The 25,825-nt window shown below is 35.3% G+C and overlaps 1 protein-coding gene across 4 annotated transcripts in view; it reads right to left on the minus strand.

The window, feature by feature from the left end:
• Positions 1–25,825, minus strand: part of TRPS1 (transcriptional repressor GATA binding 1) — a 260,480-nt gene that overhangs the window by 206,846 nt on the left and 27,809 nt on the right. For 2 of the 4 annotated variants that reach the window (NM_001330599.2, NM_001282902.3), the window contains exon 2: positions 3,791–4,719. In NM_001330599.2, the coding sequence (NP_001317528.1) occupies positions 3,791–4,717 (927 nt within the window). In that variant the 5' untranslated portion in view covers positions 4,718–4,719. Of the gene's footprint in view, positions 1–3,790; positions 4,720–8,259; positions 8,418–25,825 lie in introns of all 4 variants that reach the window. The other 2 variants (NM_001282903.3, NM_014112.5) reach the window with 2 other exon arrangements.

The following is a 25,825-nucleotide window of genomic DNA, read 5'->3' on the forward strand; positions in this document are numbered from 1 at the left end:
AGCTCCCCAATAAAGATGATGCAAACACCCAATGCACAGCGCATTACACCCTAATGAAACAGCAAAGGCCGCGTTGTTAATGCAGGCCTCCATTCAGTAATGGTTTAAATATAAGCATAATAAAGCAGATTAAAAAGAAAGAAGCTAGCAGGGCGCGGTGGCTCACGCCTGTAATCCCAGCACTTTGGGAGGCCGAGGCGGGTGGTCAGGAGTTCGAGACCAGCCTGGCCAATATGGTGAAACCCCGTCTCTACTAAAAATACAAAAAAATTAGCTGGGCGTGGTGGTGCACACCTGTTATCTCAGCTACTCGGGAGGCTGAGGCAGGAGAATAACTTGAACCTGGGAGGCGGAGGTTGCAGTGAGCTGAGACCATGCCACTGCACTCCAGCCTGGGTGACAGAGTGAGATCTCCATCTCCAAAAAGAAAAAGAAAAAAATAAAAAGAAAGAAGCTGTAATTACTTTTTTAAGAACTCGATCTCTTGTATTATTGGTCTCCATGTGAGCCTCTATGGCCGAATACAGATAGTAAATATTACATGAAAAGCTAACCAATCATGCTGCATCTATGATTTTTACAAATTTAAGCATGACAACTGATAGAACATGCTGGATAAATGAAAAATTGGAAAACTAACATCCTGGTCAAATCAATTAGCTCTAAGCTAGCCATTATAGCTTCTCTTGTTTTCTTGGTAAAGAATTTACATGTCTTCTGCTTTTAGGACTGGGCATGCTACCTCAAGGTGTTGGGGGGAGAATCTGATAAATGCCACACTCAGAAAGGACAGTCTTGGCTTTCTGATGGCTATTTACAGTGACCTCCATTATCCGGCTGGGGCTCTATCTTCTATGCAGCACAAAGAAACATTGTTATTTGGCAGTATTTTTACAAAGTTGTAATTCTTTGACTTAGTCATTTGTGATCTAATTTATACAAAAGTGGATATTATCAGCACAAGCATGTCTAAATTTCAATTATTCCTCCAAGTATATTTGAAATAACTTGCACTTAAACCGGGAAATCTTCGAATTTGTTTAAATTATGTACTTCTTTTCCCAACTGTATATCTCATATTTGCTCTCAAGTCCATTCAAATTATTTAAAACCATCCATGTCAAACCAAAATATAGATCAAAGCCATAGAGTTCTTTCAGTGTTTTGCTTTTGGCTTCTGTTACTTTTTTTTTTTTTTTGGCCTAAAATGTCATAAATCTATCATTAACCACCAACTGTTCTGAATGTTTTTTAAAAAGCAAGTTTAATTGAAAAGGATTAATGAATTCTTCATCTATTACTTCAATTAGCTTAAATTATGGACTTATATATAATTCCTAAAATTGAACGATTGTCTGTAATACTCATATTTACCAACATCTTTTTATCAGAATACACACAGGCCATTAACTTACTATATATTTCTGACAAAACTACATTAAAGAAATTCTATAGTCAGCATTTTATCTCCCACAGCTTTTAGCCTCCACGAAGTTTAACCACCAAGGAAAGAATCTCTCAAATAGCATTTCAGTAACATAAACTTGTTGGTATAAAAGGAAATTTCAGATGCGTTTTTATTCATTTTATGCATATAGAAAAACTGTTCAATATTTATTTCAGCATGAAGATACTAATAAGTTACTTATCTTCAGACATTTTTCTGCAGCAGTATCTGGCATATGTGCAAAGCATTCAAGATTAGCATTCGATCTACAAGTATATTCAGTGTTATCCTCACAAATTGAAGTTAACCCTTTAGATGCGTTTCAAAATCCAATTGTTTGTTTGAAATAATCACGCGCTGTTGCCACAGATTACTTTTTTCTATTTTTAACAGTATTATTTATCTTGGAAAAAAATTATCTTAACAAGATTATGTTCCTGCATGCTCTTTCCTACCACTTTTTGTCTTCCTCGGTGTGTGCTGCAAGGATTTAGCAGACAGCATAGTCTAGGATCAGCTGTTTTATTTCTAGTTCTATTAGTTCAAACTCAGATAGCTCACACATCTGTTTTACTTCTAAAATCACTGCCCAGGAAAAGTGTCCAGCTCCTTCTACCCAAACATAAACTTTACTATAAATAACTAAGAACCTAACAAATAACTGTTTGGGGGAAATGGAAGTGTGTTTAAAAATCTGAATTCTTCCAAACTATAGGCCTTAGTAATTTTCGTTTTTAGAGTTTTCCCTGACAGCCTAGATCAGCTTCCCTCAGAAGTTGTCCCTAGAGTGAACAGACTGAAACGCCTGCCGGAAATCCAGGTATTAACTTCATATTACTTGCTAATTATAAAACACTGTTTCACATACTGACATTATTCACTTCCAACCCTTTTATCTAAAACAAGTATTTGCTTCCCAATCATAGTTTGACAGCAGAGTGTATCTGACATAAGACAGTGAAATGATCTTTAATAGACAGCAGTTCAAAGCATGTAGCTTTCATGCATAATAACTATGTTGGGTTAATTTGCTGCTCCACAGAAATAATTCTATCTGTGGAAAATCACAAACTAAGATGGAATTTTTAGAGAACTTTACCAAGATGAAACTGGTGTTTTAAGAGTTCTTTATATCTCCCTTAAAGTGATAAGATTGCCATTCTGACATTTAAAGGACCAGGAAATTTCTCTTCTGATTCTTCTTACAAGTATTGCAAAATATGTTCACTACCTGTTATTTACAACCTCTTTGCCTGCTTTTCTTAATTGGTATTAGGTCAATAGAGAGGTCTGAGACAAATGAGCTGTAGCTATCAAGTGGATAAAAATGACTGATATTTTAAGGGATTTATTTCATTAGTTCTCTGGGTACTTCTAATCATTCCTAAAAAAAGTTACTAGTAAAGCTAATATGTTTTGAAATCCCCCTGGCCTTATAATACAATAAAAATCTACAAACTGTAACAAAAACTAATACACTTTCTCAAGCTGACCATGAATTTTGACTATGCTAAAATTACTAAAATTAAATGTATACATTTATTTAGACTCAGTTCCATGTTTCGTTCTATTCAAAATGGTAACAGTTTCTTTTTTCCATTTCACATATGCCATAAACTAAAGACAGAAAGATAGAACAAAAAGGTAGGCTGTTTTTAATAAAAGTAAAAATCTAAATTATTACTAAATGCTTTCATAAATTATTGCCATTTTCCTTAAATGCAGAAAGGAATGCTTTATTGGCCCCTACCAAGGTCATTCTGCTGTCCCTAATACTTAAAATAACATTTACTTCTTTCTAATCAACATAAAATGTTATATCCCAGTTTTCATTTGCAATTATTTTGCCTTTTCAGGACTATCTCTGCAACCATCAATATGAACCGTCAGGATGAATATAAAATCAAATCCTAATCCAAGATACAGGAAATATCCTCACTGAAAGAAAGATTATAGCAAAAGCCTTATAATCTAAAACTGGAACAAGGCATGAATTATTATCATGTGCAACCATAAAGATTAGTAACATTTTTGGAAGACTGTGAAAACATCAAATTACCATGACATATGCCCAGAATTGTGAAGCTTAGCTAATTCCATGAAAAGACTTTCCCAAATTTAAAAAAATGCTAGGATTGTTTTCCACAATAAGAGGCTAAAAGTTGTCTTTAGACAACTCTGAATATACTTGTATGAAGTAGCTATGGAGTGTGTCCATCTCTTCTGCTAGATCTAGCAGGCTACCTGTCTGGTACTGGGACCTTGGTTTTAACATGAATATAAGAATTCACATTTCATTTCTAATAACTTTTTCTGTACAAAGAGACAATACAAAGTACAAACCTGCACATCATAGGTCCCATTTAGTAAAACAGGCCTTGAAGAATTGATGTCCTGCAGCACACCAGAAAACACAGAACGGTTGACCTTCTGGAAGTCTTTGGAATGGCTGAACTGCACCATGTTATGAAGGGCCAAGATTTTGCTGTCCAGCTCAGCATCTTGCCTGGTGCGGTTATGCAGTCCTAAGTGATACTTTCGGAAGTGCTTAATCAGATCTGTGGGGTCGTTGCCGTAGTAACCATATCCACAGATATTGCATTTAAAGTCCTGAAGCTCTGGAGACAGAGGTGCCGGGTCTGGGTTGTCATTCACCAGTAAGTCAGTTTTGGATTTATTCAGTCTTACACCCCCATCTGAAGGCACTTGTGGGTTTTTTGAGGCCACTGAAACTGGGCTCAAACCTTGACAATTGGCTTGACCACTCTGTGCTTGCCCTGTTTCCTCTGTAGCCTTTGGTGACATCTTCTGATCTTCCTTTGTCTCCAGTGAGTCCCCTGAGGGGGTGCAGGCCATATCTTGAGGGTCATCTGCCTCTGCTCTTTGCGGAGACTTCAAGGGCTCACAGACTCCCCCAGCAGCTGGAGATGAGAAAGCCAACATATTTCTGTCTGTCACCTCATCATGCGGAAAGGAGGGAAAGTTTCCTCCCTTACTGGGGCTTTCATAATTGAAGCCAGCCTTCTCACTCAGAACTGCGCTTTTCAAGTCCTTCTTACTGCTAGAAGATGGATCTTGAACATGCAAGCTATGTTCCTCCTTATGATTTAGTTCTGCAGCATCACTCTGATCCGTATTTTCTGACATCTGATCTGCAGAAAATTCTTTGTTCTTTCCAGATACCTTGCTTTCTGTACCTATAGGCTCCAGGATCTGGCCCTCGCCTTCACTTGCAACGTTTCTCAGAGGGGGGTTCTTTTTCCGGACCATATCTGCAAAGATAAAGGGAAAAGGCAGATACAGTGTTATCTGAAAGTTACAGAGATACAGTTGAATCTGGAATATTTTACTTATGTGAGTTTTTTAAGGTGCATAATCAAATGCTTCCTCTAGGAAAAAAAAAAAAACCCATTCTAAAAACAGCAAAAAGTTGAGACTAAAACAAACAATTTACATTTAGAATTACTTTTGTAACCAAGACTGGCTCATTTATTATTTTAAGGTGGTTTTAGGAATAATGAAGGATTTATTTTTATTACTAGGTTTACCCTCCCTATTACTTATTCTTTCCTGAAAATATATTTTTGCCCAATTTCTTCCTTTGATTGTAGCTAACAATATATATGCATGCTTATATATTTATATATGGTCTATATTATATATAACATGTACACATGTTATGTTTATAAAATACATATATGTGTTTATGGTTATAGAATACATCACATTTATTTATATGGTACATATATGTATACATAAATAACATAAATTGGAATTCGATATTGTTACCCTATGTAACCGGGATGTAAATATAGTTTCAAACAAAATATCTTCATAGTCAAAAAGACAGAAACAGCTATGTTATAAACAGAGTGAAAACTGCCTCATCACTTTCAGGAAGCGGAGGATGACAAACGTTCCAGCTCTGACCTACCAACAAATTTCTTTGAGCCACATTTGGGGCTTGCCTGAAAGTCAGAAGAAAGACCTGCTATGCATCACAGTGGTCAGATCAGGTTTTCCTAGGACTCTGTCCAGCATGCTGGGGAACCTAATAAGCTCTGGGTGTCCATATGCAGCCTGGTGAAAACAGTACCTGTTCCACCACTGGGAGCACACTGGAAACTGACTAAGAAAGAAGATTAAGCTGAACCATATGACATTGTCCTTGTGTAGTTCAAAACAGCAAAATATTAGCAGTTTGCTATGGTTCACCTTTACACATTAGCTCAACCATGTCTCTCAAGTTAAGTTAGTGACATCAGTGACTGGGGTCAAAAGAAGAATACTGGAACAAATTCTTCTGCTGGAGTAGAATGAGTCAGAACTTTAAGAATATAAAATAAACTAAGAAACAATTTGTGTAGTGTCAATTAAAGAATGCATTAACAAAGGCTGGTCGAGGACTGGGTTCCGTGGCTGCTGTTTCTTAATCACTCAGCTTAAAAAGCTGTCGAGTGCTGTGTAAGTCATCACCCCAAATGTCTCTTGGAAAATTCCACCTGTGACATTCTGATTAAACAAGACTTCTTTGTTAGTTGACTTCGCCATAAGGACTAACAGTTAGTTATACCGCAATTATCCAAAACATGCTGAGAAAATCTAAATTAATAACATGAGGTTTAGTCATTTTCATCTATAATTTCTCACAAGTACTGAAGTACCACACTGGCTTTGGATAGACAAGTGTACCTTTGCTTCTGAAAAGCTGGTCATGCAAAATTTTTATATGAATCACTGAACAAGGATAGTGCACTAGAGTATAAGGAATCATTTATAAAGTAAAAATGTGCCACAGTGAATAATGTGAAAAATAGCATAATGGTACTTAAGAAAGTACACTGGGCCAAGCACAGGGGCTCACGCCTGTAATCCCAGCACTTTGGGAGGCCACGGCGGGTGGATCACCTGAGGTCAGGAGTTCAAGACCAGCTGACCAACATGGCGAAATTCCATCTCTACAAAAAAAATACAAAAATTAGCTGGGTGTGGTGGTGCATGCCTGTAATCCCAGCTACTAGGGAGGCTGAGGCAGGAGAACTGCTTGAACCCAGGAAGCGGAGGTTGCAGTGAGCCAAGATCATGCCATTGCACTCCAGCCTGGGCGACAAGAGTGAAACTCCATCTCAAAAAAAAAAACAAAAGCAAAAACAAAAACAAAAAGAAAGAAAGTACACTGTTCTTCTTACACATCAATAATGTTATTCGCCAAATACCTATAAAAGCTCCCTCTTGGAACAAAATTACATATATAGGATGGAAGAGTGAAGTTTCAAGTGAAAGTGTTGGCGTTGAGGCAATGTAAACCTGACTGACTTCTGGAGGAAAGAAGGGGAATATGAGCTTCCCATCTTGGTGTCATTCTATTAGGCCCTAAAATTAACAAAACTTGATAACCACTGTTAAAAAAGGAAACACTGGTAAACTATTTTTTTTTAATGTTTGCATTTCAATGTCTTATGTGTTATGTCAACCTTTTAGGAGTCCTGTATTCTTTTGTCAGAAGTGACTAAAGAAGCCCTGGGAATGTGTGAAAATATGCAGAAAACCGAAGGGCAATTTTACTAGTAGTCAATAAAGGGAAAACAGGGAAAGAAAGACTAAATGAGCAAACTGAAAAAATTAGTTATCATTTAAAATATAAGGTTGAGCAAAATATGCATGGTTTTAACTTGGTCTACAGAAAAGGATATTTTAGGTTGTAATCAAACATTCCTACACATAAAATTGTGAAGGTTTGATACAACTTCTCTTACCTTTCCCTCCAGAATTTCCTGATTGTTAATTTTTTCCATTACACATAATGTCTTCACTAACTATTACAATATAATCTTCCCTTACTGAATAACTATATCATTTCTATTTTAACAGTTTCTTCTTAAGATGACTAGAACTTAACACTGAATCACCTAAATGAAATGAATAAGGTTACACACACAAAAAAGATAAAAATCCTATATCAAAAGACAGGACTCACAAAGAAATGAGGAAGAAATAATCTAATTCATTAAGGTTAGCCTTCCATCAAAATGATGAGAAAATGGTTTATGCCCATATGTTAACGCCAGGGTGAGCGATTAGGAAAATGGCAACATTTTAAATAGCAAGGGAACCAAGATAAAATACTTAAAAGTGAATAGATCTAAATACATTAGTATTTTAAAAATTAACTTATTTTTCAAAACAAAAAGAAGCTTTAGCTCTAGTTGATTTATTGTTACATTGAAGAGATATAATGGGTCATAGTTTAAAGACTACTCAACCAGCATCTTTAGTGGCTGGGAGAAAATATGACTTAATTAAATTATCATCTTTCTAAAATTTCAGTTCCTTCTTCTACCCAAGAACAGATACTTAGAACACTTATGACTCATGACTCCTTATGCTGAATAGAGCCCTTAATAATATACATTGCAAAGACTGTTAAACTGCTAAAACTTCAAAGAAATCTCTGAAAGGTCATTTGGGTTTTATTTTGTGTTGTGGGGGCGGGGGCATGTTCTTTAGTTGCTGTTTTTTAAAAAAATGTGCTTAATTTAGTTGACTATACTTTGAAGTAGCTATAGAAGAAATAATTTTACTGGAATTATATCATCGTAATTTTTCAGAGTGACAGATTATGTAAATATAAGCACATTTGTCATACTTCTAAGTGGAAGAAACTCCCCTAGCGAGTCGTAAGTTAGATACCATAAGACTATAGCCACCCTCAAGTTATTATCTCTAAGACAAATAACAGATTGCACGATGTTTTACTGTGTGCCAAGAACTTTTCCAGTTAACATTTTCACTTGAAAAAATAGATCACATACTTGTAAAATCATACCCAGCATTGACTTCATAAGGCATGTGGCTTTAGAGTGCTTTTTACAATTATTAATTCTATTAGTCAACTAGCAGGAGGCTAATGCAATTGTCTTAGAAGACGCTCAGAAGACACAGAAGACATTTTGAGAGCTGATCTGTACATCTGCAAAACAAAGCAAAAGAAAAATTTTCCTTCCTAAATGATGTAAACATATTTTCATGTATCACACCTAAAATATATTAATATGCTGGCATCATAGGCTGCCTGAAAGATATAAAAGCATGAGCAAATCTGGAGCAAGATCCTCTCCCTCCCCAGGGTTTTAATAAAGCAACAAGAGAAGGAGGAACATGATATAAAAGGTTACAGGACATAAGTCATTTTCATAACAGACTGTGATGTTGGTGAAATTATTTAACCTCTAAAACCCCTTCAACCCTAATGACCATAATACTTAACTACATTGGGGTGGGGATAAAAGATCTTAATTTGTAAACACCAGCAAATGCTTTTATAGGGAAAATCTTAAAGCAATTAAAATACGTAATCACAACAATGAACACAGTCATTAGTTTTGGCAACTCTATTTTAAACTTTATCATCCTACTACATAGCAATATCCTTCATGCAGTCTACCTTACCCCTGGAAAAGTTCAAAATGCCCGTTAGAGTAAGTCTACTATGAATTGCCATTTTAGATGATGGGCTAAAAGTGAAGTTGAGAAAGAGGAGGTAAAGAATTTAAAGGAGAACAGCAAAGCTCAAAATTGCTATTTTAAGTCCTCTATTTAATTGTGAGATTAAAAATTGACCTCTGGGGCTATGTAATAGTGAGCAGGCCTACATTACATTATTCTCCACCTGAACAGCCCATATAATGAGAATGCATATTATACGCCAAGATATTTAGGCAGGTTAAAAATATATGTAGCTTTCCCAAAATATTCTATTTGTATTAATTTTCATTGCTGAGATATAAGACATTCCATCTGTAAAAATCATAAATTTCTACTCTTAATTAACCGTATTTCCTTCTAAATAAAACAAATCTAAATGCTTTGCTTTCTTAGAAAATGTGTTTACTTTTATAAAAATAGGAGTGCACTATTTCTGTTACCGTATAATTTAGACAGATTTATGCAGTAGAAATAATCAGCATTAGAGCTTAAAAATAATTCTAACTATTTTATCTCACTATTTAAAGTGCTTAAATACATAAGAAAAAAAAATCTTCTCCTGTAAAAGACTGACTGATGTTCTCAAGAGGGCACCTTCACAGCAAAAGGGATTTGAGTTTTCTATCATTATCTAGATACTGTAAATTAACCACTAGTGTTTTAGTTATATTTCATATATTATATATAAATATATACATGCATACATTTAATGACATATTTACTCCAACTAACCTTGCAATAGATAATCAAATAAATTATTCAACTAAATAAATCAACTATCACAGTAATTTAAAAACAGAGCTTAGATCACGCATCAGCTCAACACAGGTGAACTAAAATTTATTTCCATTAGATGAGAAACTCTTTGAAGGTAAGAGGTGTAAATTCTATAAATTCTATATTCTTTGTAGTATCTTGACCCTAAGCAAAGTAAAGAATCAAAACATGAGTAAAAATCGTATGGAAATTGCATATCCAGTTTCTACACCTGATTTAAATCACCTGCTCGTGTGATCAAGGGCAAGTCCTTTTGCTTCTCTGAGCCTCCATCTTTACCTGTACAATAAGGGAATTTGAATAAATTATTTCTAAAATTCCCCCACCTCTGTGACTCTACAATAGTTCCGGTTAATAGCACTTCAATTTTACCTTTAAAAAGTTTGCCCAATTGCACTGAAAGACTATAGAACAGCAAACCACCGGCGCCAAGGGTGGTTTAAATACCACCGAAGCCTATCTTTGCCTCAATTTCTCACTTCCCCCAATATTCATTCATTCAGTAAATATATCCAACCTCAGTTATGTGCCAAACACACTAAGCAAGATGACTTTAATTTTATTATTTGTCATTAATTTAAGAAAGAAAGATATGCTTAAAAAGCAAAGAAAATGACTATAAGGAACTCCTCAAGGAAAACTGACACTTCTGAGTATCTTTCTAAATATAATTTCATAAACAAATATGTGTGTGCATATATATGTACAGACACACACACATCACATTCTGAACAAGACTCTAAAAAATCAGGAGGGCAAGATCCTGTAATTGGACCTCAGTTTCAAATCTTGTTGCGCATAATTTTTAATTATAAGTAACAGTTCTTATTTTCATAATATGTAATGCCAGATGACATTTTCTTTTTGTTTTTCCAGCTTATAAAACTTTTCAACTGTTTGAAATCAAAGCTTAACACAAAAAGAAAAGTCATCGATGGTCTTCGCCTTAAAAAGTATGTTTTCTTCCATGCTTGCTTGTATACACATCAGCATAAGAGTACTGAGTTATTAATTACACATTTCATGTAGCTTTTATTTTTAAAAAAACTTTTAAAAGAAAGAAAAAATGTTTCTTTTGATCAAAAGTCCCCACAAAGAATTTAAAGAATTAAGCAAGTGATAGCAAAATAAAAGGAAGGTCAAATCTTGGGCCTAGAGCAAACTAGATAGCTTCCATATGAACAATGTATACAGTTCAGTTTTGAAAGAACATATGTGTTTGCTCATTGGTTTAGGGAAAAAAAAAAAACACTTGAATCCTGTCTACTCCATATATACAGATCAAAATCAGATTGCTTAAGTGAACTATAAAATGCAAGAGAACATTGTTTATCCAATTCACAAACTCAAGAATCACTGAAGGAGTTTAGATGTTTTCTATTTCTTCAGATTCCAAGGCAATACTTCAATGGTAGATCGCTTTTTTTATAAACTGCTTCAAACTTCGTAAACTCAATGTCAGATCCTGTTCTTTCCTATCCATTTCTATTTAATTTGCTCTCTCTGAATTGACTGTTCCCAAATTTTTAAAGCTATTTTTGAACATCTTAAATCTTGTTGAGTTTTAAATGTCAACACCTTCAAACAACTTCCACCAAATAAATCTCTTATTAATTCACATCAAACTAATCCAAAATGATCATTTCTATTAACATATGCTTCAGAGCACAAAAGCCCATTAATAGTCATCTGGACACTAGAACTAACCAAAAGCCCTCTGAGATAAAATGCACATTATTTAGATATCCTATTTCAAAGGTTTTGATGCTAGCCCAAACACATTTTATTAGGCTTTTATTTCATCTTGCTATGTTCTCTAGATTTTAAATATCTCATTTCAAATGCACTTGTCTAGGTAAAAGGAGATAGTGTGGTAAGTAAGTAATAAATGTCCTATTTGCCTAAATGAATCTTCATATATCCAAATACATGTTAAAGAAAAAATGCATTAACCACTGTACTTTTATAAGAAAATTACAAAACTTTCTTTTTTCAAAGACTTTAGGCTATAGTCACAATGACACTGTAGGACACATGTATATATATAAAAAGAATGCACCTATTTCACTAACTAGGGAAACTAAAATAGAGCAAGAATACCTCATGGAGCCTCAAAAGGCAAGGGGAATTGATTATTTTTCCTTTCATAACCAGTGAGAGGCAAATGTATTAAAATCCCTGATTGGAATAAGATCATAATTTCACTGTGCAAATTGAGAAATGTTACCATTTGTTTCCCTGCAGAAAAGTAGTTTTTCCTTTTGTTTTCCTCTCAAAACACACACACACACAATTAAAATATCTGCAATGACAACTGTTGATTCACATAGGCCAATCTGACTTTACATTTGCACACAAGTCAGTTTCAACTTCATCCCTACTTCTCTGTTAAACTTAGGCTATTTCAACTGGTCTCTGGGCAAAGAGCCAAGCACAGCACTTAAATTCAAAAAGAGTAGCTCATCGAAGAGTATAAATGTTTCTATTTATCTTGATGGTTATGATGTGAATTGACATTTTATTATATGTAAATTAGATTTTCACTCATAACAAAAATAACGAGTGCTGTGCTTTGTAGGAATGTCTTTGACTATGTTGCCAGCATTTGGTGAAAACTATCATTGAATAGTAAAGGTAGTTTAATATTTTTATGTACTAATGTTGCTTTTTTCTGTTTTCCTACCTGTTAATCAATAGAAAAGAAAATCTCAATTATTAACTCAATCCACCAATATAACTAACAGCTTTCTTTGTTCTCCCTTAATAAATCTGTGTCAATCACTGCAAATCCATTTGGTAAACTGACACACATATACAGTATAGTGAATCTAATAGATGCTTACCATAAAGATAACATAGTGCAATTAGAATGCTCGCTGTCTTCACAGCACCAGTAAGCCAAGTATATTCAGTAAGTTTTATTACTATTAGTAGTATTAAAAGTGCCAAATTTAATATAAGATTAAAACCAGATGTTATGAAGACATACTGAGAACTTATACCTGTAATATACTCTGTATGTGTGCATGTGCATGTGTGTGTATCTCTAAAAATGAAGGGAAGTAACTTTGTGCCTTCATATGCAATAGTTCTTCCTCATGAAACTAGGAAACAACTCACAAAGCACTAGGCTCACTCCTACTCTACCACAGGGAGCAGTTTAAATGGCCTGCACCCATCTGAGAACCAATGGACTAAGGACAACCATAGACATATCCAACAGATAACACAAACATTACAATGAACCAGCTAATCCATTCACGCAACAAAAGGGATTTAGAAATTTGGTACAAAATACAAAATTTGGTTTAGCTACCACCCTATTTAGTGCCAACTCCTTATTTTAACCTAATTAGCATCATTTTTCCCTCTGACAAAAACAAATTACACACACACACACACAGGAGTCATTTTCTCTCTTTTGTTAAGTATGGAGAAATGTTCCAAAGAAAACTGATCTTAAAATATATATATACTTGAAAGCAACTTCTCATAATAAAATTAAATAACTTTTTCCTGACTTCTAGGATATGAAAAGCTTTATATATGGGCAAAAAAAGTAAACATATAATCCGTTCATAATTTGGAGTTGGATAAGTAACAGGCTTAGAAAGCTTCAACTATAAGAACCTTTTCTGAAAAAATATTATGGTATTTCAGAACATTCTGCCATGCTCACTGCAAGTTTAGCTAAGCTCTGCCTGGGATTTTAATACGGTAACTGTTTAAGCATAGATGACAAGAAACCCAAGACTTGTCTCTAGACTCTTCCCATAATATTAGCTTCAAAAAAAGAAAATGAAAGGAGATTCCTTGGTCAGATTAAGTTTAATGGAAACTGTATAATACATATCCCTCCCAGAGATCCACAATGTACATTAGCGTTTACAGCTCTAAGAAGTCCTAGGGATTGGAGAGGGTGACGTGTGTCCAATCTAGACTGAAATTTCCCAATCTCATTTGGCTTTATGTCACATAGTGCCATTTAGCCAACAAAACTAATGTTCTGATGAACACAGTGGGAAAGGCCACTCTAAGAAAGTAATGCTCAAGGAAGAAATTTAACTGAGATTTTAAAGCACGCGTAGTTAAGGAAAAAAACAAAAAACAAAAAACAAAAAAAACCAGTATTCCTTCACTAACTTGGCAAAAAGACTAAGATGTTTTGTTATGAAGAGGGCTGTTTTGAAGGATTTGTTTTTGTTTTTTTGTTTTTTTTCCAGAAGAGCTATCTATGTTAAAAGAAGATTGAGGCATATCATCATTAAAGATTTAGAATCAGAATTTTTTTGAAAGAATGTGTAGTGGCAGAGCATTACAGATAGAACATTGGATTTTAAAAAGGGAACGGATAAAACATCTACATACAATAAAATCCCAGGTGTCCAAATTACACATTCATAAACATACGTGGATATAAACTCAATGTTATCTTTGAGCTAAATAGATTATACAGATATCACTGCATAAAGAAGCTCTATTTTTTCAACTATTGTTGCTAATGCTGTCCAGCTACCGTGATCAGTTTAAAACCTTATATGCCAAATTTGTTATTATTTTATAATAACTTAAATTTTATCTGACTAAAATTGAGCCAGGAACCAAGATATGGCAAAGGCCTTTAATTAAATATGGAATGTGGAAAGACCCAGGATTGCACTGAGCCATCTTCAGTTCATATAGTTACAATCAGTAGTTCTCAAATGCTTGCAGATACCTCAGATCTATCCCACATGCTCCTCCCTGATTATTAATAAATCCTTTCTTCTCCACTCCACTCAGTCTGTGTCCCCAGATCCACCTATCCTAACAATGAAGGACAGAAAACCAATGCCTGGGGTCACAATCAGTAAACACATGTCTATTATAGACCCTATCTCACCCTTGAAAATCCCAAGCAGATCCCATAGCTTTACAGGCTTTTGAATTTTGTTTTATCATTATTGCATTATTTTACCCCCAAAGATTAAAACAAAAGATCAGAAAGAAAGAAATAAAGCAAAAAATAGGTTAGGTAGATGTCAAAGTAAAACTGAAACAGGTAATTAAACTTAAATTAATTGTAAACACAAAGCCAGATAGAGTGGTGAGATTCAAGCCTGAGAGGATGACCACAAGTTCCTTCTGGACCCATCCCACACAGCCTCTATTTTACACATTCACATATGAGAGGAAGAATAGTGATGTGACATACAGGAGTAAGACTACAGAATTCGGGCAGAAATTAGCTCACTTGTTAAGTATTTTGTATAGGCAATCTCGTCAATCTTCACTTTCAAATTCAGTATAAACTTAAGAATCTATCTAAACATACACAGAGCCATACACACACACACACCTTTAGAAAAGATTTTCACCATCTGCACCCCAATTATTAGTTTCTCCATCAATCTTGTTGTGGACCCCTATCATAACAGAGTAAGGGAAATACACATATATAATTCCAGGTTCAGGTGTTTTACAAATAGTTCTTTCAGAATTTAATTGAATGTTGAAAGAAACCAAAAGTCAGAGGTAGGTTTTTTTAAGGCCTATGATCTTCAGTGTTGATACATATTCTAACCTGAATTTCTAGCTAATAAAAAATATTTCATGTTCTTATTATATGAGCCAGGAACTGTGCCAAGAGTGCATTATCTCATTTGATTTTAATTTGGATGAACAATCCTTTAAGTACTATTATCATTCACACTTTACAGATAATGCAGCTAAGACATGGAGAAGTTAAATCGCTTGTCTAGGTGCAGACCTAGCACATGAACAAGTTGGGTCTGAAGGAATCTAAAGACCACTTGGTTTCCCAATGCATTTCTCATAATCACTTTAACAACAGTTAACCAATGCAAAAAGTGATAACATTTTAAGAAACTTACAAGAGAACACAATCTACAAGACGCCATGTTACAAAGGCTGCTATCAAACATATTTGTCTGCCTCTATAGTTACGTCAAGTGAATGAATATACAATCTTCCCAATATTCTCACAGAGTACCAGATTATCCTAACTTTCGAATCTGCCTCATAATGCCTAACACATCACCAACATTACCAAACTACATGCCTCTAAAATGGATTCACTTCTACAAAGCCCTCTACAATTTTCACAAGCAAAACTTAGTCTTCTCCACTGTCATGTGGCACCTTGTGCATATCTTCTCTCAAGGTACCTGCCACTTCACACAGAATTATGTGTTTATGTTTTAGGCTACCCCTCTAGACTGTGAAACTCTTCAAACCAGAAAATATATTATGATTTATATTATCATTGTTGTTAATTCAAAATATTAACAGCTATCCATTCATATATGTGATACTAATCAAAATATTGATATAAAATAATTCAATATATATAAATAGCTACATCTCATCAGTGATCTCAAGTTTTTTCCAGGTGCAACACATCTGAGGCTCATTTCCATCATCAGCACTAGCAGACTATGATGGTGACTATTGCAGAGGAATAAAGTATAATAGCATATTGGCACAAGGGACATGCAAGTTTTTAAAAAGCCAAGTGATACTAACATGCCCTTCCTCACAGTGACAGGCCTATGACACAGAAGGCACTCGTTCTTATTAGATGCATGGATGGATGGATGGATGGATGGATGGATGGATGGATGGATGGATGTTGACACACTTAGAAATTTCTATATATTGCTTTTGTCTTCAAGGAAAGTCTGAATCTCTTGATATTAAATAGGCTCAGGAAACTAACAGCTAGAAAAATGCTAAAGTTGTCTCAACAACATAATAACAAACCAAATCACGACATCCAAGGAATCAAGGCATTAATTTTCTCCTTATTTCGGCTGAAAAAAGAATCAGATATCATAGCTCTAGGTCCATGGGCACAGATCAAGAAATGTACAAGTCGTGAGACATAAGAACTACTGAATTTATTTTTTAAAATGGTAAATCACAGCCATGTTGGTTTGATTTAGATTCCATAAATGTCTGTGTAACTTTACACATCAAAAATATCTGTAGACTGATTACACAGAGGAAAGTTCATTAAAAAGTGGCACATTCTCTATATAGTGATAATTCTATAATAAGAGTACCATAATCAGTAAAATGAATTTGCATGTTTGTATATTTGGATGATTATGTATGTTTTATACATGAACATCATATGGTATGTAATAGGTTTATTAAATATATAATGTTTACCATAAATATATGCACTTATATATACATATGTTTTATTTACAAATTTTTCATTCTGTATTCTCCAACATTCCAAAACTCAAAATATACTATACAAGTAGCATAATACATAAAAAATAAATAGTTTATCTTTTAAGAGAATAGCCTGGAACATAAAAAGAATACAGAAAAGCCTCAAACATCTGGATTAGACGCCAAGAAACTTAAAACATTCAGAAGGACACAAAACCAGAAGTTTAATTTTAAAATGCGCGTACACACACAAACACACGTGCACACACACACACACCAATTCTCACAGTATTACTTCCTGAATTTCTCAAACTGGAAACAAGCTAAATCTGTATCAGCAGTAGAATAGATTTTTTAAAGTTGTGGCATATGATTATAAAATACAATACCTGTTCATACAACAGAATACTATGGTACAATACAAATGAACAAACTACATACAACATGAATGAATTTTACAAACATGATGCTGAGTGTGTCATGGCAGACACAAACGAATGCATGCTTTCAATGTATATGGACACGTGTAAAGTTCAAAAACAAGTAGAACTATCTAAAGTGTTTAGCAGTCAGGAGAGTGACTGATTCCTGGAGGACGAAGAAAGAGACCAGGAGGAGCACAAAGGGCTTCTAGAGTACTGGCAATATTGTATTTCCTGACATGAGTGATAGTTACACAGGTGTATTTGTTTTGTAATAATTCATTGAGCTACAGACTTAAGATCTGTGCACTTTTCAGCTAAAGTTTAAGAGTGTGTGTGCGATTTTTCAGTGAAACAGCAGTTGCTCTGCAGAGAGCATGGAGTAATATAATGAAGAGAAACCTTTGAGCTGCGATATTTTGATGAGCAAATCAAGCAATCCAATGGAGTGGAATGGGTCATTGACGCCTCAGGCTGAATTGTACGGGAGAAAGGGCCAGGATGTGCCCCAGCAGGCAAACAGGTGGTAAAAGAAGGAAGAGAAGAGAAATTGAAAAGAAAGCGTTCTGAACAAAAGGGATTTCAAAGGGTGAGGGGTTTGAAAAGAGAGATGAAGGGCAAAAACAAGAGAAGAAAGCAACAGACACCCTAACAGGGGTGAAGATAATCAGAGACAGGCAAACAGAAGAGAGGATAAGAACTCTGTATGTGATTCTGCTGGTGGTGGTGGTGGTGGAAGGACAAGCACAGACACACATCTGTAGATATTAAATGTTCCATGAGGATGCACTACCTTGATTATATGACAAAGACAAGCTACATAAAGGTGGAAGAGAACTAATATTTCTTGAGTACTTATTATGACCAGCCATTTGCTTACTGGCTCACGTAATTTCCCCAGTTGGTTTTCACCAAAAGCCTGATAGTTATTTAGTAGTCCTATTTCACAAATGAGGAAACTGGAACTGAAAGGGGGTTAAGGTAACCTGCTTACCCAAGAAGACCGGAGGGAACAGATGAGCAAATAAAACAATACTGTGGTTTTTTCAGAGGATTCATGTATCTAAAATTCTGAATATTTTTATAAGGCTGAATAAATGCTGTGTTTACATGAAGTGTGTGCTAGATTCTACCTTCATCTAAGGTGGTTGCTGTAAATCTATGTAATATCAGTAGACCGAGGTATCCCATCTCACAAACAGAATAATGATGAGTGGTTTCTTATTTTGCATAAAAAACATAAGTTAATAGGTACAATGCCATCAGTTTTCAACTTTATGCCTGGTTAATATTTTCTTAAGACTTTGGCTTCTAGTATCAAATGGCTTCTAATGTGTACTAGCAACTAACCAAAACAAACAACAACAACAAAAAAAAAGGCAGCCCACAAATGTGCTAAGAAAACTTGAAAATCTTATTCCTTAAAACTATTTCATGTGGCATTTAGTCTTTGTTTTGTAGGTACACACAGATATGATACAATCACATTTTATTGCACATAATTTGCCCCATCTTTGTATGATATGATAATTTAACACTATTCCACGGAGTTTCTCAGACAGAATCACAAAGTCCAAGACTACAGTCACCTAAACAAGCTTGAGAACTTTGGGTTTAAGCAAAGTAAGAATTAGTTGACTGATCCCCAATCTATGAATGCTTTACATGTTCTAGAAGTCAAAGCATGAATAATGCTTTACATGTTTTACTGCTCTCTACAGGAAATAAGCCTACACATGGAAAGAAAAGGATGTTTGTTAAAGAAGCAACATAATACCCAAGAAAAAGTAGCACTCTATAGGATAACTTAAAGTTAATCACATCCATTAGTCTTTTGAACTTTTTGCAAAACAGCATTTCATAGTAACAGTTTTACCTGATTATTTCAAAAGCAAATTACTACAGATTTCACCTAAACAGTACTGGTATCTGGTGGTATTATCACCATCTTCATACCTGCTAAAGATAACTTGTTTATTGAGCCTGCAAACCAGGGTGCTATTCAGAAAATACAATACTGTTATTTAAATGACTTCGTAAAAGAGTTAACATATCATGAGAGTACCAAACAGTACTTTTAATCCTGTTGTAACATTAAGAATGCCCTGTTTTAACATCAAAATAGAACAAGTTATATTAAATGTGAGACATTATGACAGTCATTAAGAAAGAAAATTGCAGCCTACTAAGTGTTTACCATCTTCTTAGGTTAAAAAAAAAAAAAAGATAAAAAGAAGAAAGAAAAGACAGGTTGTTGTAGGTCCCAAAATATCCTGCCCTGGTTTACTGAAATAAAAGTGGAATTCTCCTTCATGAAGTCTCACCAATGTAGTCCAGGTAAGCTAAAATAATAGATGAACCCTGGCAGGTAATCCATGTAGTCCAGGGTATGAACAGTGAAAAAACCACATGAAATACTTTGGAGAGTGCTAACCAGTTAAAAGATAGCACTGTTCAAGAATATTTTCTGATGACCAGAATACTGCTTGAGAGATGACTGCTATAGTCTTTGATGCAATAAGTTAGAATGCAGTTAGTCCTGTCAAAAAGTCCTACACTTTATCCATTTGTGCATCTACCACTTCCCTTTCATGGAAACTCTGCAAGCAATTATCCAAACAAGCTGATATGAGAATTTTTTTTTCCCCAGAAACCAAGGTCAAAGATATCTGCTGGCATCAGCACTCATTTTGCACTAAATCCTATTTTTGGGCAAATATTGCAAACTGACCAAGTGATATGATAACTGATGCTCCTAAGTCAAAACTCACGTAACATTTATTCATTCAACATAGTTTCTGAGGGCCAACTATGTGTCAGGCATTGAGTAAAGTGTTGAGTAAGGTGCTGAGGATACAACTGTGAACAAGGCAGAGAAGAAACTTACCCTGAGTGAGCTTATAGTCTACCTAGAGAAAAGAAATAAATAAACAAGGAAGAGCAGTGACTAATCCCAGTTTGGTATAACAACAAGGGGTTCTGGGGGTAAAAAGGAAGAACACAAACAAGGATAGCAAAAACTGGCCAGGTGAAAAGAGAGGATTGAGTGATTCCAACAGAAGAAATGGCAGGAGACCTGGGAAAGGCCCAGATGAAGAGAGAATGTGGCTTCTTAAGGGAACTGAGACAAGTTCAGTGGTATTAGCAATTTCTGTGGTGTTTGGTTAAATTTTTCAATTCCAGGAAATAAAAGATTAACACATAAATGTTGTAGAAAATTTGTTTTCCTGAAAACATTAGATAATAATGTATCATATGTATTGACAAAAGTTCACATCAAGTTTTCATACATAATGTTTACTACTGGATTATGGATAGTTTTCCTACATAATTATGTCAAGTAAAAAAGCATTACTGAAATGACATAAATTTTTTCTTTAAAATATTGTCTGATTTTGATGCATTTTTTCATTTTCTGATAAGATAATGCCAATCGTCCTTTTTTTATCATCAGGAATTAAATATAACCCTGTAAATATAATCATTATATTCTATATATTACATATTAATGTATATGTACATACATATAATTTATTTTAAATTGATCTCTTCCTAAAAGCTTAATAGTCTGGCTATGAAGCACAAGATGACACATTTAATTTCCAATAGGGTTCCTGTTTACTGCGCCACAGATGCAGAGGCATTGATGGTTTTAAAATCACTCTTGTCCATCAGGCTGGAAAATAAAGTACCAATGCAACCCCAAATGTCATACATACATTCTTCTTATGGGCAAGGGCATTTCAGACTTCTAAAATATCCAATCAATTAATTTATTCATATATTATGTATTTATTGGGCATATATTTAAATTCGAAGAGAAAATTATTGCTCTCTAAGAAGCAATAATCTACCTTTGTTAAAGAAACAAGGCTCACATTAAACATTTCAGTAATAATACAGGAGGAGACATGATTTAGCACCAAAATGAGCAGTGTAAACAGTAAATTCCCTTGAAAGTAATCAGTTAAGTACTTGGCTGGGCGTGGTGGCTCACGCCTTTAACCCCAACACTTTGGGAGCCTGAGGCAGGAGGATAGCCTGAGGCCAGGAGTTCAAGACCAGCCTGGCCAACATGGTGAAACCCTCTCTACCAAAAATACAAAAATTAGCTGGGTGTGGTGGCGGGTGCCTGTAATCTCAGCTACTTGGGAGCCTGAGGCAGGAGAATCGCTTGAACCTGGGAGGTGGGGGTTACAGTGAGCCGAGACAGCACCACCACACTCCAGCCTGGGCAACAGAGTGAGACTCTATCTAAAAAACAAAACAAAACAAAAAAAGCAAAAAAAAAACACACACAAAAAAGTAATCAGTAAGTACTAAATGTTTGCTATCTTTTATTAATATTTCTATTATTTCTTTCGTTCATAATAAAATAACCAACGTGGTCAATGGCAGAGGAAACAGTTAACAGAGATGAGAGTGAAGATTATCCTGAGAGAGAAGTAAGAATTGCACAGCTACAGGGGACAGAAAAGGGGATTCCAGCAAACAGGAGTAAGAGAAACAAACGGTTGCTAACAATATTAACATATGTCAAGAAACAGAGAAGAAGCTAGGTTTAAACCAAATGGCTCACATGGAAGACGTGGTTGCCAAGGTTAATAAGACAGAATCTTGAATCCCAGTTGATGAGGCTGGACCACTTGGAGAAAGCAGGAAGCCACTTGAAGTTTCTAAAAAGAAGAGATTAGGAAAACTAAACTAGATGTGGTGTGACATGTAGACGGAAGAAGGGAAAGGTAGAAAATGAAGAAAAGTGATGGGTTTCAAAACAAATCTTCAACTCTGATCGTAAAAGGAAGTGGAATTTTTAAAACCCCAGAAATATCGCACAGGTTCAGATAAAAAGATGGGGTGACTGGTATACATTAATGGAGACATTAATGATACTGGATTTTTCCAGAATTTATGTGCTATGATCATCTTTATATAGCTATATTGGAGTTATGACTATCAATATTTTATTTATCTGTTACATTATTTGTATTCTTGCCTGGACAGTGTTCTTTTGTTGTCATTCATATTGATATTATCACACCTTAGTACAGTATCCCATAAATGAGTAGGTGCTGCTTAATAAATATTTGCTGCATGAACTTATTGAAGTTACTCATGTTTGCTGAACAAGCTTCATGAAACTTATTGAAAAGACAAAAATAGAGCTGATCAACTCACTAACTTAGCTCTTGACACCCATCTGTTTGTTTCCATTGACTGCCTGACTGTACTTAGTGTTTTATTCTAGCCCCGTTTATCCTGATCCATTATAATTCTTAAGTTCTTATACCTGTAGCATTTTACCAGGTTTTCCAAATTATTTAAAAACATAAATTTAGGTTTTCCAAAATGAGCCAGATTTTCCCAGTCCCACAGGGAGCTTTCCCAGAACTTGGTCAAAACTCAGTGATGATCCCCACTATACACCCCATGTAAATCAGTAGTTAAAATAAGGGCCAGGAAGGCTTCAACACAACACACCTCTTTAATTCAAGTCAGATCTATAAAAACGGAGACTTGACAGACCTCAGATTTAGGTGCTAAAGGTTAATCTAAAATTCCATTTTACACCAAAACTCCCCGGTAATCACTCAAGTCTCCCAATGACTTGCCATCCAGACAGAGTTTGTTTTTGAAGTAGGAACGCTGTAAAGTCAGGGTACTTTTCCACAGAGGTTAGTAATCTTTGTGTCCATTCCAAAACAATTCCTTTAAGACTCTGCAGTGGAGAGCCCGAAGACATGAGTGCAATGAATAAAATAGGTTGATTTGTGAATTTGTGTTAAGGTCATGAAGGTACCTTTGGGCAGAAGCCAACACTGCCTTTAAGGCCCCAAAAATTGACATTGTTCTCAAGTGTGAGGTAACAGACCTCACAGAAAAGGTGTGGGCAGAGATCTCCTTTTAGCTCCAAAAGCAAATCTGGGCAAAACTACCCCTTTGCCAAAGTTGGACAGGATACAGACAGAAATATACACACTTACACACAGAGTTTTACACATACACTCAGGAAAGACACAGATTCAAAGGATTATGCAAGCACATTAACCAAAACCAACAGTGGTTTTGGCGGGGTTTTTACCCTTTTTTTTGAGCTTACTCACATCTTTACTTTCTTAATTCCCACAGTAATATGTATAATTGGCCTATTTTACAAAGTTTTTTTTAAAGGGAATAAACAGAAAAGAGAGTACAAATTAAATGAATAAGATAATGTATACTGAAATAGATTGTAAATGCAATGTGCTATAATTTCTTATATTCCTCCTATCCTTCCCCCATTAGACTATAAACTGCTAACAGGTAGCACACAAAGTGGCCACTCTATATATACTGAATGAAGATGCCAGCATCCATTGGGAGAAAGAGGTACTTTCTGCACAGATCAATTCAATCACTATATGATTTTATTTATTTATTTATTTCTGAAACAGGGTCTTGCTCTGTTGTCCCAGCTAGAGTGCAGTGGCATGATCATGGCTCATTGCAGCCTTGACCTTCCAGACTCAAGCAATTCTCCTGCTTCAGCCTCCCAAGTATCTGGGACAACAGGCATGTACTACCATTCTGGGTTAATTGAATTTTATATATTTTTGTAGAGATGAGGTCTCCCTGTGTTGCACAGGCTGGTCTCGAACTCCAAGGCTCAAGCCATCCTGCCACCTTGGCCTTCCAGAGTGCTGGGATTACAGGTGTGAGCCACGATGTCCAACAGTCAATCACTATATGATTACAAAATGCAGGCAGCCAAACAATTTTGGGTGGAAGGATAAAAGCAAATTTGACCAGATTTCCCTTGTTTTCATTTTTCAAAATCATTGACTCTTATGCTTTAAGATCAATGTTTCTCTTAAACAGCTTGTACACTAAAAATACAGTATAAATCAAATAATGGCCAGGCGTGGTGGTTCACGCCTGTAATCCCAGCACTTTGGAAGGCCAAGTCGGTGGACCACTTGAGTCCAGGAGTTGGAAACCAGCCTGGGTGACATGGTGAAACCCAATCTCTACAAAAAAAAAAAAAATTAACCAGGCGTGGTGGCACATGCCTGTAGTTCCAGGTACTCCAGAGGCTGAGGCAGGAGGATTGCTTGAGCTTGGGAGGCAGAGGTCGCAGTGAGCTGAGATCGTGCCACTGCACTCCAGCTTGGGGAACAGAGTGAGACCCTATCTCAAAAATTAAATAAATAAATAAAAAGTCTAATACTGGTAGTGGAATGTCAGTCGCCTGCCTATGTCACTTCATGAGGTAAACCCTTGATATAAGACTAATGTCTCTTGTGACAAACTGAGAGACCTTAACTTCTTAAAGTAGTCAATACTCAGTAGTAGTTACATATATTATTGACAGTATAGTAAATGTACAGTATGTTACAGTATTAGCAACACATACTTTCACAGTATCAAAACACCTTAATTCCATAATCTGCATCCAGAGAAAGTCTTAAGAAAGATTAAAACATAATTTAAGCATCAACTTTATACTTGATAATTTCAAAAATTTCCAAGAAAAAAAATTCTCTATAAAAGGCACTTTGCAGAAATTCCTCGTGATGGATTATTAATTTTATGTACCTCTTTCTACCTGAACCTGGTTTCTCCTAATATCCATCTATATGTTAATTGGTAAAAGAGACACAGGTTCATTATGGGAATGATAAAACAATCTCCTCTGAATTTGATAATGATTATCTTTTCTTTCATGATGGAAAACATGCATTTCCTTAAATCACTGAAGGACATAATATCCTCTCCCTACTCCACAATGCCTCCCCATGCCTGCCTTTAGAAGTCTTTGCAACGACAAAATGATGTGCATGGAGTTTTAAGCTTTTAAAAGACACAGGTCTACTGTTCAAAACTGTTATCTGTCAGTGTTGTTCGTGTTCACAGGAATAAGCAAATCATAGTACTAATATGAACACGCATAAAACAGCAGGTCTTTGGGAAAAACCCTGGAAATGAATTGCTGGTAACTAACACACCTACAGTACCAATGCCTGTATCCAGTATGTGTTCCAAAGGACTGAAAGCAATACAACTTTACCTAATTTTCTCAACTCCTAACGTATCCGTAAGTGTTGAAGGGCGTAGTCTATGTTCAAATTAGGAGAGGCTCTTGGTTAGAGGTAAACTGAAGCGCTGAAAACTAAGTTTTGGATAATTACAGTTCAAGATGTAACACTCTCATTTATACCCACTCTCCCTTATATAACAGGTAAGCCTCTGAGGTTCAGAGTCTGACAATGGAACTTCTACATTTATTCAGGTATTTGGCAGCCAGCAGGTCGGAAGCAATTCAATTGCTTAAACCTGATTTTACTACCTAACTTGGGGGTGGGGAGGTGTTGCAGGGAACAGTCTGGATTCATATGTATCTGGTTTTCTGTTTTGGAATATAACTTAAAATATTTTTGAAGAAATATGGTAAAGTGATTATCCTTCTGGAACTAGATACACCGACACTGTCACATTAACTCACAGCTTGTTAAATACTGTGCAATCTTTCTAT

Source organism: Homo sapiens, chromosome 8 (assembly GCF_000001405.40).
Source record: "Homo sapiens chromosome 8, GRCh38.p14 Primary Assembly".
NCBI classification, from domain to species: domain Eukaryota; kingdom Metazoa; phylum Chordata; class Mammalia; order Primates; family Hominidae; genus Homo; species Homo sapiens.